Source organism: Homo sapiens, chromosome 3 (assembly GCF_000001405.40).
Source record: "Homo sapiens chromosome 3, GRCh38.p14 Primary Assembly".
Classification (NCBI taxonomy): domain Eukaryota; kingdom Metazoa; phylum Chordata; class Mammalia; order Primates; family Hominidae; genus Homo; species Homo sapiens.
The window spans coordinates 72,634,668-72,653,068 of record NC_000003.12 but is presented as its reverse complement, the minus strand read 5'-3'; the positions used below and the strand labels follow the sequence as shown (position 1 = coordinate 72,653,068).

The 18,401-nt window shown below is 45.3% G+C and overlaps 1 long non-coding RNA gene across 1 annotated transcript in view; it reads left to right on the top strand.

Moving 5' to 3' along the window:
- The window catches only part of LOC105377161 (uncharacterized), a 134,312-nt gene that overhangs the window by 63,373 nt on the left and 52,538 nt on the right, over nucleotides 1-18,401 (top strand). The window contains exons 6-8 of the long non-coding RNA XR_940962.3: nucleotides 5,223-5,318; nucleotides 6,015-6,110; nucleotides 14,485-14,623. This is a non-coding gene — a long non-coding RNA (uncharacterized LOC105377161). The remainder of the gene's footprint in view (nucleotides 1-5,222; nucleotides 5,319-6,014; nucleotides 6,111-14,484; nucleotides 14,624-18,401) is intronic.

The following is an 18,401-nucleotide window of genomic DNA, read 5'->3' as shown; positions in this document are numbered from 1 at the left end:
TCAATTCATTGGTGGTATAACAAGAACTGGTTTTATTGTTTCCAACTATTGCTCCTAACCCAGCTTCCATAACATTTTCCATGGCTAAACATCCTTAGTAGTAATTCAGCTGGATTCTGTAATTTACCAGTTCCTTTACTAAAACCATCACTTTAGTTTTTAAAGGCCCTGTCCTGCTCATTTTAATACTTCAGTCTATATTGCTGAAATGGGGGTGTAGTTAAAAAAAAAACCCATGAAAGAAAGAAAGAAAAAAGAAGAAAAAAGAAAGAAAGAAAGAAAAAGAGAAAGAGAAAGAAAAGAAAAGAAAAAGAACGCTTCAGTCTTACATTGGATAGAAAGCCTTTTCCTGCACTTGCCCTGGGGCACGCATGAACTATGATTCCTGGGGTGAGGAGGGGAAGTGAGGATGATTCTCTCATACCCTTTGCCCTCTCTCCTCCTTTTGTTGACTCCTCGAGGGTGGGGGCTGGCAGGAAGGAGAGGAAATGCCTCCCACATCTCTTGCCTGGACCTGCTGGTGAGGCTGTGGGCCTCTCTTTGGTGGCTTAGAGCTTTCATTGCTCCAGGGTTCTGTGGGCTTCATGTCGTTGGCCTTGCAAGGGGCTCACTTCTCAGCATCTCCCAGGGTGTTGTTGGTTCCTTCCTAGACCTGCCCACACCTCCTAGCTGACCCCACCATAATCCTCTCTGTGAGGATGTAGGGTCTTTGCTCTTCTATCTTCCATGGCCAACTTTGGGACCTCTGGGTTTGTATGAACTCCAACTGTACACTTCTGAAAAACTAGGGAACTAGACTGAGCTAGGGACTCTCTTTCTCATGGACTCCATTATGCCATCCCACCCCAATTTTATCATCTTCTTTCTGGTCACACAGAGGAAAGTCAGCAGGTCCTCCCATTAGGAAGTGAAATTCCAATCTTCTTTACCTATGGATACTGCTAGTCATTAGCAGGATACTCTCTGGGTCTCCTCTCCTTTCTTTGGAGGTCACAACACACTTTGTTATCAAAAGGAAAGGAGGAAGGAAAAGGCTTCTCTTCAAAAATACTGCACTATCCCAAAATATGAGGTCCTCTCTCCACAGTGCTGATGGTGGTGGTGGTGACAGTGATGGAGATAGTGCTGGAGGTGATGGTGGAAATAGTGATGATGGTGATGGTGATGAAGGCATTGACGGTGGTGGCTGGTGGAGATGGCGATGAGGGTAGTGGAGGTGGTGGTGGTAGAGGTGGTAATGATGGTGATGGTGGTGGATGTGATGGTATAGATGGTGGTGATGGTAGAGATGTTGATGATGGTGATGGTGTTGAAGGCATTGACTGTGGTGGCTGTGGTGGAGATGGTGATGAGGGTAGTGGAGGTAGTGGTGGTAGAGGTGGTAATGATGGTGATGGTAGATGTGATGACACAGGTGGCAGGGATGGTGGAGATGCTGCTGATGGTGATGGTGATGAAGGCATTGATGGTGGTGAGGGTAGTGGAGATGATGGTAGTAGGGGTGGATGTGATAATACAGATGGTGGTGATGGTAGAGATGTTGATGATGGTGATGGTGATGGTGGTGAAGGCATTGACGGTGGTGGCCATGGTGGAGATGGTGGTGAAGATAGCGGAGGTGATGGTAGTAGAGGTGGTAATTGTGGTAAGAGTGGTAGAAGTGATGGTGGAGGTGGTGATTCTCCTACAGTTACCCCAAATAAAGCCCTGAGGGAAGGTAGCTGGTCCTTTTGATTCTCAAGGGTCAGAGCTCTGAATTTGGAAGATGGGTATCCTTTGTCTTCAGCTCTGGGCCTTAGCAGAAATTTCAGAACAACAGGAAAAATCCCACTCAGCCATTAACACAGTCCAGTTACATTAGGTGTAGTGCTACCAATAAAAGTAATTCTTCCACAGTTCTTTTAAAGTGGTACTGAAAATATGGTAGCTTCTTGTTATTTCCTCAGCCAACAGAAGCTGAAGTACAACTACTACAGTGTAAAGGTCTATAACAGTTCTTGGCATTGGAAGAGAGTTCTTTATATCTGAAAACTTTCGAACTAGTGCTCTGACTGGGTTGCTCACAGTCTCTTCTTGGGCTGGGTGAGAGGTCTTTTGAACTTGGGGTATAAGCTGTTGTCCCAGAAGGAGCACAAGTGAATAAATGATCAATAAGAGGCTGAAACAAGAACTCTGGCCTTGCTAACTCTACAGTCTGGTCAATGGGATGAAGCAAGATGGAGGTGGTTACCTAGATGAGGAGGAAAGTTAGGCTCCTGGTTTTCTTTACTAGTGCCTTATGATGAGTTAATTTCTCTCTGTACAGCTAGGACTTCCTGTAGGCCAAGGTTTCTTGACCTTGGCACTATTGACATTTGGGGCTAGATAATTCTATGTTGGGGATTGGCTGGGGCGGGGCTGTGCTGTGCATTGTAGGATGTCTAGCAGCATCCCTGGCCTCTACCCATTAGATGCAAGTAGCACCCTCCCTACATTGTGACAACTTTACATGTTCCCAGACATTGCCAAATTTCCTTTGAGGGGATCCTTTGAGCACTGCCACTGTAGATCCTACCCAGGCCAAGGCTGCCCCTTCTCTGGGAAGGGTCTGGGTACTGATGCAGCAGATATGATTTTTATTTTATTTTATTTTTTGTAGAGATAGGATCTTATTTTGTTGCACAGGCTAGTCTTGAACTCTTGTCCTTAAGCAGTCCTCCTATCTCGGCCTCCCAAGGTGCTGAGATTACAGGAATGAGCCAGCCTAGGTTTGATGTTTTTGAGCCATGTATTCAAGTCATATAGCAAATTTAACTCTCTCACTCTCTCTCTCTCAATCTCTCTCTCTCTCTCTCTCTATATATATATATACACATGAGGTTTTTTTGTTTTGTTTTGTCTCTTTTGTTTTGAGATGGATTCTCGCTCTGTGGCCCAGGCTGGAGTGCAGTGGCACGATCTTGGCTCACAGTAGCCTCCACATCCTGGGATCAAGCGATTCTCATGCCTCAGCCTTCCAAGTAGCTGGGATTACAGGTGCCCGCCATCACTCCTGGCTAATTTTTGTATTTTCAGTAGAGATGGGGTTTCGCCGTATTGGCAAGACTGGTCTCAAACTCCTGAACTCAAGTGGTCTGCCTGCCTCAGCCTCCCAGAATGCTGGGATCACACGCATGAGCCACCATGCCTGGCCAACATTCTTTATATTTCTGTTCCCCATTTCTATAACTCATTTATATATATCACCCTTTGAGCCCTCATTCTTCCTGTTGGCATCTGTGGGGAAATGCTCTCTTTTTAAGTTTAAACTCAAGTCAATTCAGGATCCTTTTATTCTCTTTCCCTCCTGTACTGATCAAAGATTTACGGGGTTTCTGGCATTGGTGAGGGAGTGGTGGGAACTAATTTCTGATCTATGCCACTATCTTCTGAAATGTGTGATCCTTCTGGATGGTTCCTTGTGTGGGGGACTCTCGTATTGATTTCTGTGTCGTCTGAACCAATGGATATGTCTGTTCTCATCTTATTTGATTCCATTTGATTCCTTCCTTCCTCCTCTACTGACTTTATTCTGGTTTCTGTGACCCCATAGACCCCAGGTTTTCTTCCCACTTTACTAGCTATTCTTTCTTTGCCTCTGTGGCTAAATCTTCCTTCCCCTTATCTCCAAATATCAGAGCACCCTGGATTTCAGTCCAGAGCCCCATTTTCTTCCCTATCTAAACATTTCTCTTTAAATCCATGGCTTCAAATGTCATGCTTTTCCCATAACTCCCACATCTCTCCAGCAGTGACCCTGCCTTATGTCCCTCATCCTTATAGTCGACTGTCCACTTGATATTTCCGCTTGGATATCTTACTGATGCCTCAAACTTGACATGGTTAGAACCACTCTTGTTTTCTTTTCTCTAAACCCGCTCCTGCTCCCCAGTCTTCTCTATCTTAGAGAATAGTGTGCCATCAGCTCAGTTCCTCAAGCCAAAGATCATTTAATTATTTTCAGTCTTCATTTCCCTTCCCTAACACATTCCATCTAGCAAGATCTGACTTCGACTTTATCTCCAAAACAACATGAATCAGTTCACCGAATTTTCACTGCTACCACCTTGGTCCAATTAGCCATCATCTCTTGCTGACATTACCACAACAGCTACCTGACTGAAGTTTCCTTGCTTTTATTTTTGCTCTGATCATCCTACGAATCATTCCCCATGCAGCAGCCAGAATAAGCTTTACAAAATATAGAAATCATAAGATCATGTCACACTCCTACTTAAACTTTCTTTTTTTTTTTTTCCACTCTGTCGCCCAGGCTGGAGTGCAGTGATGCGATCTTGGCTCACTGCAACTTCTGCCTCCCAGGTTCAAGCAATTCTCCTGCCTCAGCCTCCTGAGTAGCTGTGATTACAGGTGCCCACCCCCACACCCGGCTCACTTTTGTATTATTAGTAGAGATGGGGTTTCACCATGTTGGCCAGCTGGCCTCAAACTCCTGACCTCAGGTGATCCACTCACCTCAGCCTCCCAAAGTGCTGGGATTACAGGCGTGAGCCACGGTGCCCGGCCACCTGCTTAAACCTGATTGCTCCTAATCACACTTCAGATAAAATCCTGACTGCTGGCTGGGTGCAGTGGCTCATTGGCACTTTGGGAGGTCAAGGCAGGAGGATCATTTGAGCCCAGGAGTTTGAGACCAGCCTGGGCAACATAGTGAGACCCTGTCTCTACGAAATTTTTAAAAATTAGCCAGATGTGGAGGCATGCACCTGTAGTCACAGCTACTTGGGAGGCCATGGTGGGAGGACCACTTGAGCCTAAGAGGTCAAAGCTACAGTGTGCCAGCCTAGGTAACGAAGTGAGACCCTGTCTCAAAAAAAAAAAAAAAAAGAAAGAAAGGAAGAAAGTTAGGAAAAAAGGAAGGAAGGGAGGGAGGAAGGAAAAGAAATCCATCCTCACTGCATATGCTGGCTTACAGGCCCAGCCTGATCAGCCCCTGTCAACCGCTCCAGCATCATCATCTACCACACCACCCTTTGCTCCATTGAACTTCGGCCACACTGGCTGTTTTAATGATCTACTGCGGCAAGACAAACCATCCTGAAACCTAGTGGCTTGAAACAGCAACTGTGGATTATTCCTCATGATTCTGTGAATTGGTGGAGCTCAGCTGGGAGGTTCATCTCTGTTCTACTCTGATGTTGGTGGAGGTGACTCGTGGCCTCATTTGGCCTGGACTTTTGCAGGAACTGGAGCAACCTCTCTCACATGGAGGACACCTGGACATCTCTTTCTCTCCACCTTGTCTCTGGATCCCTTTACATGCTGGCTCAGGAATCCAGGTGAGTGAAATTGGGAATTGCCAGACTTCTTAAGGCCTTAGCGTGGAGCTGAAATGTTACTACATCTGCATTCTACTGGTCAAAGCAAGTAACATGGTATAACCAGAGTCAAAGAGGTGGGGGGAGTGGCAAATAGACTAAGATGTGGCCATCCTGAATCTGCAGGCCTGACCTTCTTTCTGTTCCTTGCTCGTGACCAGTTCATTCCTTCCTTGGGACCCCTGCACCTGCTGCCCCTTGGCGGGGATTTTCTCCTCCTTGATCTCAGCATTGCCGGCATCGTCTCGTCATTCACATCTCAGCTCACATGCCATCTCTTAAGAGGTGACCATCCAATGAATAAAGTCACCAGTTACTATCATGTTACCCTTTAAATATTCTCTGCAGAGCATTACCACTCTGTTTGTTGGTTTGTTTATTTGCTTATCAGTTGTCTCTTTTCCCTGGAATGAAAACCCCATGATGGCAGGAACCTGGCTATTTTGTTTACACTGTATTATCTTTAGCCCCTACAACACCTGGTACAGAGCAGGCAGAGGCCCCCAGTTAATATGTGTTGAAATAAATAAATGATAGAGGCCTCTCTACCATTTGGAAGTGAAGAACCTGGGAATCACTCAGGTCTGGGTTCTTATTATTTGCTGTGTAACCCTGAGGACATTATCTAACTTCTTTGTGCTTCAATTTCTAAAACAGAGTGAGAATTAAGAGTGCCTACCTCATCCTCATGGGGGAGTTGTAAAGACCAATGAAAATGATCTATATCTAACTTATCAAATGATCTGGAACTTGGTAAGCCCTTATTATCATTTATTTTTAGATTTTATTTTTAATTGACACATAATCATATATATGTATAGGGTATAATGTGAGCTTTCATGGATATGTTCTGTAGGGATCAAATCATATGTAGCATTTTTATCACCACACACATCAGTTCTTTGTGGTGAAAACATTCAAATTCCTCCCGTCTACCTTTTTTAAAATATACAATACATTATTGTTAACTATAGTCACCTTACTGTGCATTAGAACACCAGAACCCATTCCTCTTACCTACCTATAACACTGTACCCATTGTCCAATATCTTCCCCTCCCTCCATCTCCCCTACCCTGCCCAGCCTCTGGTAACCTTTATTCTACTCTCTACTTCTATGAGCTCCACATATGAAGGAGATCGTGTGGTATTGTCTTTCTATGCCTGGCTTATTTCACTTAATGTTACTCCAAGTTGTTGCACATGGCAGGATTTCATTCTTTTTTATGGCTGAATAGTATTCCATTGTGTATATGTACCACATTTTCTTTATCAATTCATCTGTTGATGGGCACTTAGGTCACTGATTGTGAACAGTGCTGCAATAAACACAGGAGTGCAGATACCCCCTTGTAATTTCGTAATTTTAATTAATTACTTTAATGCAAACACTAACTTACTCCCTCCTTCTTATCTCCCTTCCCTGAGCTCCAAAGGCAGGAGAGAAACCAGTAGAGAAAAATTCCATGTAATTCCAGAAAGCAAGAATCACATTTCGTTGCTATCTTTAAAATAGCTTCAAGTGACTGCCTGCTGGCTCCAGCCACAGAGCAGGAGATGGGATAAGGAGATGGGTCCTTATGTTGTTCTTGGTGGTGGAAGGTGGGTCAGTCAAGGTCTGGGCCCCACTCTCTGCTTCTTACAGAAACGTGGAGCTCCTGAGCTGCAAGGGTCTGGCAGGCTTCTAAGAAGTTCCCTGTTGATTTGAATCCTGCTGAAGGCTGTGCTGGACTTCTCTAGTTTGTCCCAATTAGAGTCTTTTGAAACCACTGTACTTAATTTACCACCTAATTACTCTTACCTTGTTTGTTTAATGAAGCTTACATAATGATTCTGGTGATCTGTACAAAACCTTAGGTGGAGATTTTACTTTTCACTTGATAATTTGTGATTTTTATATTAATGTTTTATAACCTTGGGTTCTTAATCATAAAGTCATAAGGAGCTTAATTGATTTGAAACTAACCATGCCCTGAAGTGTGTACATGTCAAATTGATTCAAATTGATCCAGTGAGTTTAAATAAAGCTTAGGCCAGGGAGCATGATGACACCTGATAGAAATTTTCCTAAAGCACTTGACTTGGGGGACTCAATTATGCTGCCATCTCCACACAGTAAATTATTAGATAAATACTGTTTTTTTTTCCATTTATCACAGACTGAAAAGATAGGACAGTTCAAAGAAAAAAAAACACTAGGAAAAGTTAGATAAGTGTAAAATGTTCTATTTATAATTCTTCCTTCTGAAAAGCCGCAGAGAACTCACATTTTAGAGCATGCTGGTTTGAAATATATATATGTTTACAGGCTTTGTTTCAGAGCCTGATAGTCAACATCACAGTCTCAAGTTGAAAATGGTTGGAAATGAAGCACTGATAATAGAAGCACTGGAAAAACACAAGCCTTGTCCGGGATGAGTGATCCTTCTTCAGGGGTGATCAATTCAAGCACTTTCCCAAAGAGAACTTTCTCTGAGCAGATGAACTCACAGGAGAAATCCTCAGCTTTCCAGGACAGGGTGCTGTTCCACATTTCTGCCAAATGACAGGCCAATTTAGTTCTAATTGGCCCTAATTGGCACTTCTTCCCCTGAGAGGCTACATTCTTGTACCTGCCTTCCAGCAGTCCTCACAAAGGTGTGAAATCCCTTTCTGGCTTTGAAAAATATCAGACATAATTTCCCAGTGGATCCCTTTATACCCAATGAAACTGATTGCTGGGCCCGGGGAGATGAGCCTGACTCCAGAAAGATGTAATTCCCAGGGCTCAGGGCTCCCTGAGGTCCCAGCAGTGAACAGCCGCACGAAATTCTGCTGTAATTGATCTCTCCAAAAACATTTTCCTTTGTAAGCAGTTCCGATGGTTCCTGACTTTCTTTCATATCTCCAGTTGCCATTTCTTGCAAGTCAGTCATTTTGTTTTACTCTTTTTAAGAATTTTTATAGAAATATGTCTTGGACTTGAATGTCTGCAGTCTCTTGTGTCCTGCCTCACTGGTGCTGCCCTGCTCAGTGGGAACGCCGTGCCAGCTTCCTAATGAGCCTCCTTGTCTTAGTCTCATGTTCTAGAGCATCCTCTTTGCTGCATGTCCCTTGAAGATGGTGTCCCTGATTGCATCTTTCACCCCAGTGCGCCCAGGGCTGAGCACAGCATTTGACATGCAGCACATGCTCAGTAAATACTTTTAAAAAATTTTTTCACGTGGAGGTAAATAAGGTGTCCAAACCTTAGGTGATATCACAAAAGACTTTTTTACTCATGTAATCACCACCTGCCTCAAATATAGAATGTTCTTAGCAACCCCAGGGAGCCTCTTCATGTCCTCTCTCAGTTAAATCCCCAACCCTAATCCATTCTGGAAATAACCACCATTCTGGTTTTATCACATTGCATTACATTGATTTTGCCTGTTCTTGACCTTTCTGTGTGGAACTGTTCACTGCTATGGTGGCCATAAAAATGCATCTCCCAGACTTCTGGTTGCTGGGATTGACCCACAGTCGGTTTTGCTGGGCTCTAAAATCCATCAGAACATTTGGGCAGGGAAATCTTCCCACAGGCTGCTCCTCCCTTGGACTGGGTATAGCAGGGATGCTAGTGCGGGCCCATTCCCAGGAGGTAGGGAACTCCTCTGACAGCAATTTTGGCTCAAGGACTCCCAACGGGCCTTGCCAACCTTCCTTAGAACTGCACTGTAGGCCGGGCGCAGTAGCTCACGCCTGTAATCCCAGCACTTTGGGAGGTCGACGTGGGAGGATCACTTGAGATCAGGAGCTCGAGACTAGCCTGGCCAACATGGTGAAACCTCATCTCTACTAAAAATACAAAAATTAGCCTGCTGTGGTGGTGGGTGCCTATAATCCCAGCTGCTCTGGAGGCTGAGGCAGGAGAATTGCTTGAACGTGGGAGGCAGAGGTTGCAGTAAGCTGAGATCGTGCCTCTGCACTCCAGCCTGGGTGACAGAGTGGAAAAAAAAAAAAAGAAAAAGAACTGCCCTGCACTGTAGTCTAAGATGTTCCCATCCAATGTTCCTTCTTTCCCTCTTTCCTTCCTGAGGGGCAGACCTGCATCTCAGTTTGATGATTTCCTGCTTCTCCTGGCTCCCTCCTCATCTTCCCTCTCAGGTGTTTCTCTTAATACAGCTCTTGGACATTTAATCCTGGCATCTGCTTCTTGGATTGACACAAATGTGAACTCTTCTCTGAAGCCTTCACTAGGCCCATGATTTTCACTCATGTTGCATGTAGCAATCATGTATCCTTTTCATTTATTGCCGTGTGGGATTCCAGTGCAAGAGTATGTGCACAGTTTAGCTCTCTTAGACCTGATGGGCATTTCGGCTGTGACCGGTTTTTGGCTCTCATGAATAAAGCTGCTAGGAGCATTCTTGGATTCCTCTCTTGGTGGACATGTGCATTCATTTCTCTTGGGTGTGTACTTGGTAGTGAGAGTGTTGGCTTGTAGGGTAATGGATGTTTAGTATTAGATAGTATTAGATACTTCAGTACAGCTTTCCAAAGTAGTTGGACCAGTTTGCTTTCCCATGCTCATAAGGTATTTACTGAATAAGTGAACTCTAGCCAGAAGCATCTTTTAAGGACTTAACTTTGTCCCAGTCACTACCCTGATTAGACACACACACACACACACACGTGTACACACACACAGCTTTCCATAGTGCCCCATTGTTATAATGTCCAAGTTCTAAACTCAAAAGTTGTACAAGGCCGTGCCTGACATAGCCCCTGTGTAACTGTCCAGTCATATTGCTCGCCACAGCCAGCACCCACTAGCCACCAGTCACACCAGCAACATGAACTTTGGTTACATTGCTTCTGTTTTCTTTGAAAATGCCGCAGTCTTCTACCATCTAGATTTCTGCACACATTAGACCCTCTGCCTGGAACATGTTAGCTTGTGTGTCTCCCTATCTATATTTTCCACTTTGCCTAGTGTATAAGTTAGAAATGTTTTCAATCGCAAGGGATTGGGGAAAAACGGACTTAAAGTGAGTCAAATAGCAGCTCTTTCCCTGCAGCTCTTTGGCAGATAAGACCCTCCCATGACATTAGAAATGTAGAAGTGGGCAGTAACTAGCATTGCTTCAGCAGTATGATGATGCCAGGGCTGATTCTGTGCCATTCTCTTATCTTTCGTCCCAACCTTGATTACCTCATGGTCATAAGATGGTTGCTGCAGCTCCAGGCATTACATCCATCTTCAAGGCAGGAAGAACAAGAAAGGGCCAAGCCAGCCATTTCTGTCTCTTTCATGAGAAAAGTGAAATTTTTTTCAGAAACACCTCTAGCAGGCTTCTGTTGGAGTTACCTTGGCTGAACTTGGACACCTCTAGCTTCAAGGAAGATTGGGAAGCTATTTATTTACATATATATTTATTTATTTATAGACAGAGTCTCACTCTGTAGCCCATGCTGGAGTGCAGTGGTGTGATCTTGGCTCACTGCAACCTCCACCTCCTGGGTTCAAACGATGCTGTCTCCTCAGCCTCCCAGGCTCCTGAGTAGCTGGGATTACAGGTGTGAGCCACTGCGCCCGTCTAATTTTTGTATTTTGTGGTAGAGATGGGGTTTCACCATATTGGCCAGGCTGGTCTCGAACTCCTGGCCTCAGGTTATCCACCTACCTTGGCCTCCCAAAGTGCTGGGATTATAGGCGTGAGCCACTATGCCCGGCCCTGGGAGCTATTTAGCTCTTCAAGGCTCCACAGGGGAGGACAGGGGAGAAAAGGTTTGGAAATGACTGTTGAGTGAACCTCCTCAAAGTGTCTTCCCTAGTAAGCAGACTCTGACTCAGCCTCTGGTTTCAGTTTGGCTGTCCCTTCCTCTTGGAAGCCTTCCTTGATCCCTCACCTTTTTAGGACTAATTTAGATGTTTCACCATCATAGAGGTCTCTGAAGTTTTCCTTAGTCATGAAGTTATTTACTGACTCTCACCTTGAGGTATGTGTTAAATCAAGCCCTTCAAGAAAAAATGGGAAAATATGTATGGCCATGGTAAAATACATGCACAGACCACCCCCCGCCTCCCGACAAGGAAGCCTCCCTACCCCATCAGCATTTTACCTGTTTTTTTTTTTTTATCAAGTCTATGTGCAAGCTCAAAGTGGCCATGGCTTCTTGGGGGAGTCCCTACCACTTCCCCGAATTGAATAAACTCCCAGGAAAGCACTGGCAAACTTATCCCAACATTTGTGCCTGACAAAATCCTGTCAATCCAGACTGGCCACTCCCAGCCTCTTTGTTTTGTTACTACTTAAAAGCTTTAAAAATCCCCTCTTTGGGGGGGGCAATCTGTAAGATCTGTAAGCAGGTAAGATCTTGGACTTTGGATCCCAGAATGCCTGGGTTCGATTCCTGACTCTGCACTTATCTGATACATGGCTTTGGGCGAGTCACTCCGCCTCCCTGGGCCTCAGTTTTTTCATCTGTAAAATGGGGATAATAACAGCACTTACTTCTCAGTGTGGTTGTGAGGTTAATTCATCTTGGAAACCCTGTCACATGACAAGCACTCACTCCACATTGGCTGCATTTATTCCCTCTGAGCCCTACTTCCATCTACTGCTCCCGCCAGTCCCCTTTCTCCTCTCTTCCTCTCCAAACTCAGTCAGTGAAATGCCTAATCCAATCACTGCCTGAATCAGTGAGGATTACATTTCCTGGGAAAATTTACACCCAGGTGAAGGAGCTCAAACAAGCACCCAAATAACTAGAAAGCAGCAGCCGACATGGATTGCACTCTTGCTCTGTGCCTTGCATGCGTTAGTTGGCGTGTTGCTTGCTCACACCGGGTTGTTTCATTCTTCCCACATTTATAGACGAGGAATCTGAGTCTTGGAGTGATTTGTAAATTTATAGTGTTCCAGCAGAGGATGAAATGCAACTTTGGCAGCCAGCCTTGGTGGCTGATGCCTGTAATCCCAGCAATTTGGGAGGCTGAGGTGGAAGGACCGCTTGAGCCCAGCAGTTTAAGACCAGCCAGGGCAACATAGTGAGAGCCCCCTGCCACAACCATGTCTACTAAAAATAAGAAAAAAATATTAGCATGGTGTGGTGGTGTGAGCCTGTAGTCCCAGATACTTGGGAGGCTGAGGTGGGAGGATTGCTTGAACCCAGGGGTTCAAGGCTGCAGGGACTTGTGATTGCACCACTGCACTCCAGCCTGGGTGACAGAGCGAGACCCTGTCTCAAAATAAAAACAAACAAACAAACAAAATCCGACAACAACAAATTTGTCTCATTTAAAGCTTGGGCTCCTAACCATCATACTAAACTGTCTTTATTATGGTTGGTCAGCCCCAGAGGAGCACAAGACATTTTGGAGTTCAGAGGTGGCAGAAATCTCAACAGATTTGGGGGTTTCCAAAAAGCCTTCATGGACACATAAAATCCAGCTTGGAGAGTGGGGAATATTTCATCAGGTGGCTGGAGGAAATATAGAGATAGTGGGAAAGGCTTTTTGGATGCATGGAACAGCAAAAGCAAAGACACAAATTCTCAAAGCACAGGATAAATTTTGAGGAGAATAGTGGTTAGGAATATAGGCTCTGGCATTGACAAAACCCTTGGTTTAAATCCCAGCTCTGCCACTACTAGCTGTGTGACCTGGGTTAAGTTGCTTAACTTCTTTGTGCCTTAGTTTTCTTGCCTGTACAATGAGACACAGCAACCCCTTTGAAATGGTTTGGCAGGATAAAATGAGATGATGCTCAAAACCTCATACAGTGTAAGCACTCAGGAAATGCCATCTATATTCACTACGTCACACAGACTGGTGACCTGTATGTCACCTGCTCCCAGGAGATCAGGACGAGAAGAACAGAGGAAACAGCTTTTGAGTTTTCTCTGTCTTTAGGTAAAAAAAAAAATGGAAGCACTTGTTCCTCTTGCAGCAAATGACAGCATGAATCATGCTTTATTTATCCAGTCTCTTCTAGTCAGCCTTCTGCAACATGCCAGCATTAGTAGAATGTAGATAGGAACATGACCATTAAAAAATGAATACTCCAAGGCCAGGCGTGGTGGCTCACACCTGTAATCCCAGCACTTTGGGAGGCTGAGGTGAGTGGATCACTTGAGGTCAAGAGTTGAAGACCAGCCTGGCCAACATGGTAAAACTCCATCTCTACTAAAAATACAAAAATTACCTGGGCATGGTGGCATGCGCCAGTAATCCCAGCTACTTGGGAGGCTGAGGTGGGAGAATCTCTTGAACCTGGGCGGCAGAGGTTGCAGTGAGCTGAGATTGTGCCACTGCACTCCAGCCTGGGTGACAGAGTGTGTGAGACTTCGTCTCAACAATAAATAAATAAATAAATAAATAAATAAATAAATAAATAAATAAAAAATGAACAAACACTCCAGTATGGGCAACATAGTGAGACTTCATCTCTACAAAAAAAATTGTAAAAAATTAGCCGGGCACGGTGGCACAGGCCTGTAATCCCAGCTTCTTGAGGGGCCGAAGTGGGAGGATTGCTTGAGCCCAGGACGTGGAGGCTGCAGTGAACCGTGATCATGCCACCACACTCCAGCCTGGGTGACAGAGTGAGACCCTGTCTCAAAAAACAAAACAAAACAAAAACACTCACCTTGAGTACTAGTTTACAAATATTTGGCTTCAGCAGATATTTCAGACCCTTTCCTCGGGGAGAGACTTAAAGGTTGATTTCTGAAATAAATTATACAAGCTTAATGTCCATCCACTACCCTTTTACTGGTCACTAACAAGACCCCAGTGCTTGGGCCAATGTGGGGAGGGGAAACCAGGAGAAAAGAAACAGGGTGTTTTGTGTTTTTTTAAGTTCACATTTTCCTCCTTGTTGAGCCAGTTGGAATGTGGTCAACAAATTGCTTTGAAGGACCTGAGACATCTCGGTGGGTCCTTCCCACACCGTCTTTGTGTTGGTAAAAATCAATGCTGACTTCCACCACCATCCCTTCTGCCCTAACCCCGCTCCCTGCTCCCATTTCCCCCTAGGAGATCTAAGGAGAATTTAATCCATATGGTTTTGATTCCCTCACTCATCAAAATGCAGTTTTCCAAGAGCCATTTGATCTCCAAGATGTTATGTGAGTGTCTTTTTGTATTTTATTTTTTCCCTTAGAAAAGAAAAGCTGATGGTTTGCCAAAAGAAAATGAACTCCAAACTCTTGGGGTCTGAACTGGGTTCAAGCATCAGATCCAGGGGAGCCCAGGGGGATGCTGCTTAGTCAGGGGCCTCAAATGTTCTCTGCACAAGCCAGGTGAGTCTAAGCAAAATGGGGGCACTTTCTTTGCTTTCCTTTCTCGTGTGTGTTTGTGTGTGTGTGCACATGTGTGTGCGTGTGTGTGTGCATGTGTGCATGCGTGTGCATGTGGGCATTCTACCCACTCTTCTATCCCAGAAACTGAATAATAATGACCATGTATTAAGTATTTCCTGGGGTCCAGGCTCTGTGCCTAGACTGATTGACTGATTGACTGATTGATTGATTGATTGATTGATTTTTTGAGATGGTGTCTTGCTCTGTCGCCCAGGCTGGAGTACAGTGGCGCGATCTTAGCTCACTGGAACCTCCGCCTCCCAGGTTCAAGCAATTCTCCTACCTCAGCCTCCCAAGTAGCTGGGATTACAGGCATGTGCCACCACGCCCGGCTAATTTTTGTATTTTTAGTAGAGACAGGGTTTCACCATGTTGGCTAGGCTGGTCTCGAACTCCTGACCTCAAGTGATCCGCCCACCTCAGCCTCCCAAAGTGCTGGGATTACAGGCTTGAGTCACAGTTCCCGGTCTGTGCCTGGATTTATGATCTATGTGCTTTATGTAAATGCTCGAGTCTTTATAATCACCCTTTGAGGGAGGTGCTCCTTCCCTCCCTCCCTCCTTTCTTTCCTTCCTCCTTTCATTCATCAAATATTTATTGAGCATTTATTATGTGTCAGGTGCTATTCTAGGGTCTGGAGACAAAGTGGTGAACAAGACAAATTTCATCCCTGCCTTTGTGAAGCTTACATTCTAGTTCACGTGCAATTAAGCAAATGAGTAAGATGGCTTGAAGTAGTAATCAGTGTTATGAAGGAAATAAAACAGGAAGGTGGCAGAGAGCTTGTGCTCTGCTCAATTTAGAATGAGTGGTCAGGGAAGGCCCCGCTGAGCTGATTGCTGAATGACACCAAGGATTCAGCTGCAGAGATACAGGAGGAGCGAGCTCTCCTGCAGAGGGAATAAGAGGGGGCAGAGTCCCAAGATAGGAGCATCTTGGGCACGTGCAGGGGGTGAATAAAGGCCAGCAAGCTGGAACAGAGGAAGCAGGTGGGTGGGGAGTGGAGTCCACATGGAGGGGAAGGAAGCTGGGTTAAGCATGGAGGGCATTGCGGCCATGGGGAAAGCCCCTGGAGTTTTAGGCAGGAGAGTCTGGGGTCTGACTCTGTGTTTACACCATTGCTCTGGGGGCTGGCTAGGGAAGAGGTTGAAAGACCCGCGACAGGATAAAGAAGGAAGGAAACTGTCCAGGAAGCTGCTGCTGACCTCAGGGTATGGTTCTCCCTCTCTATCATGGCTCAGACGCAGGCAGACTCAGATGAGTGTTGGAAGTGAAGCTCACTGCCCCACCCAACTCCACTGCTTGGTAATAGAACTTAAGGAACTGAGTATTTTTCAAGGGGTTCTTGTCACAGTGGTGGTCCAGATGGAAGTTCGGAAGTAGGAGTCTAGATGTAGCAGGTGGGCTTGCTGACAGATTGAAGGTGTGGGGGAAAAAGAAGAGAGACATCAAGGATAGCGGGTCAATGGAGGCCTGAGGCAGCTCATGGGGTGATGGTCCCCATTTTCCAAACAAGAAAATGGAGGCCCAGAGAGGTTGAATATCCTGACTGAGATCCCATAGGAAGGGGCAAAGTCAAGACTCCAGTGCAGGACTCTGTCTTTTAAATCTGATTTCTGAATTGTGCTTTCACAACTCATTGATACGCCCTAGACCATGCTGAGCATTGCACCTGGCGGACAAACCCAGCACATTTCCTCCCCCAGACATCACGGTGGCTTTTCGGGATCTTTTAGGCCCTCGTTCCCCTTCCTGAGGGTATAGCTCCCTCACAAGAATGGATGTACAGCCGGGCACAGTGGCTAACACCTGTAATCCCAGCACTTTGGGAGGCTGAGCTGGGTGGATCACTTGAGGTCAGGAGTTTGAGACCAGCCTGGCCAACCTGGTGAAACCCTATCTCTACTAGGAATATAAAAATTAGTCTGGGCATGGTGGCTCACACCTGTAATCCTAGCACTTTGGGAGGCTGAGGTGGGCGAATTGCCTGAGCTCAGGAGGTTAAGACCAGCCTAGGCAACATGGCGAAACCCCTTCTCTACTAAAAATACAAAAAAAAAATTCACCAGGCATGGTGATGCACACCTGTAATCCCAGCTACTCAGGAGGCTGAGGCATAAGAATCACTTGAACCCGTGGAGTGGAGGTTGCAGTGAGCTGAGATCGTGCTGCTGCACTCCAGCCTGGGTGACAGAGTGAGACTCTGTCTCCAAAAGAAAAATAAATAAATAAAAATACAAAAATAACAATACAAAAATTAGCCGAGCATGGTGACGTGTACCTGTAATCCCAGCTACTAAGGCTGAGGCAGGAGAATTGCTTGAACCCGGGAGGTGGAGGTTGCAGTGAGCTGAGATTGTGCCACTGCACTCTAGCCTGGGCAACAGAGTGAGACTCTGTCTCAAAAAGAAAAAAAAAAAAAAAAAGCACATTCTTTTTATTTCAGGGCATTGCTATTTTGAAATGCGCAGGATACATATACCATTGCTTTTCCTTTTACTGATTTTATTTTCAATCGTTTGTGTCTGTTGTCTACACAATAGGAGTTTACTAAATACTGTTGATTGACTAAATGTCCTAATGCATGCTGTGATGTTTGTTTAATGGTATAGAGCTGTAGAAAGTTTTCATTCATTCATTCATTCATTCATTCATTCATTCACTCAGTCATTCATTCCTGAATACTATCCCTGATGTTATGCTGCACATTAGGGGCTCAGAGAAGAACGAAAGCAAACCTCTGTCCTCAAACAGCTTCTAATCTGGTTAGGTGTGAGTGGAGTGAGCATGTGTGAGTACGGAATATAAGGGACAGGTGTGCAAATACTTTCAATATGATGTGTGTACAAATTTTGTGAGTACATAAAAGAGGGACTTTTGACTCTTGGGGAAGGTGGGAAGGTATGGATTTTATTAGAGATGGCTTCAGGGAAAGCATCATATTCAAGCTCAGATGCAAGGGACAAGGGGAGGAATCCTCTAAGAACAGAGTGGAAAACTGAAGGGGATTGTGTTGGGAGGCACATTTTCCACCTTTGTAGCCCCTTCTCCAAATTAAAAAGGTCGGGATAGGTGGAAACAGCTGGGGGAGGTGAGTGGGAGGAGATTACTGACAAGTCCCCAAATTCTGTGGCTTGGAGAACTTTGGGATTCCTGTAGCCAGTTTCTGGGCTGTGGAGGTTCCCTGGTCCATATTTCTGGTATTGATGACTGTTGATAAGATATTGATGACTATGGCAGACGTGGGCTGTTTTTTCCCCAGCATCCTTTCTCCATTCTTTTGGCAGCAGCCCTCGTGCTTCTATAGGATCATCCCTTTTCCAGTTTCAGTCCTTGTGGTGTAGGAGAGGGTCAAACCCTGCCCCCACTGGGATATTCCATTCCCTTGGCCATAGTAGCCCTGTGATCCACACCATGCCAATCAGGGCCCAAGAGACTTAATGCTAGGATTTTCATTTGAATTACTGAAGCAGTACAATCCTGCTTTTCTGCTGGATATGATGCTGGATGGAGTGTGGTCCAAGGAGCTGTTGGCAACCACTTGGCAACTACATGAGGCTTAGAATGAGGCCAACATCAAGCGAGTACTGTCAAGACACAGAGAGGGAAGCTGGTTCCTGGTGACACCCTTTGAGCCCTGAATCAATGGATACCTGAAGCCAGCCTTATCCTAGGACATGAGCTAACAGATTGCCTTTTTAGCTTTAGCCAGTCTGAG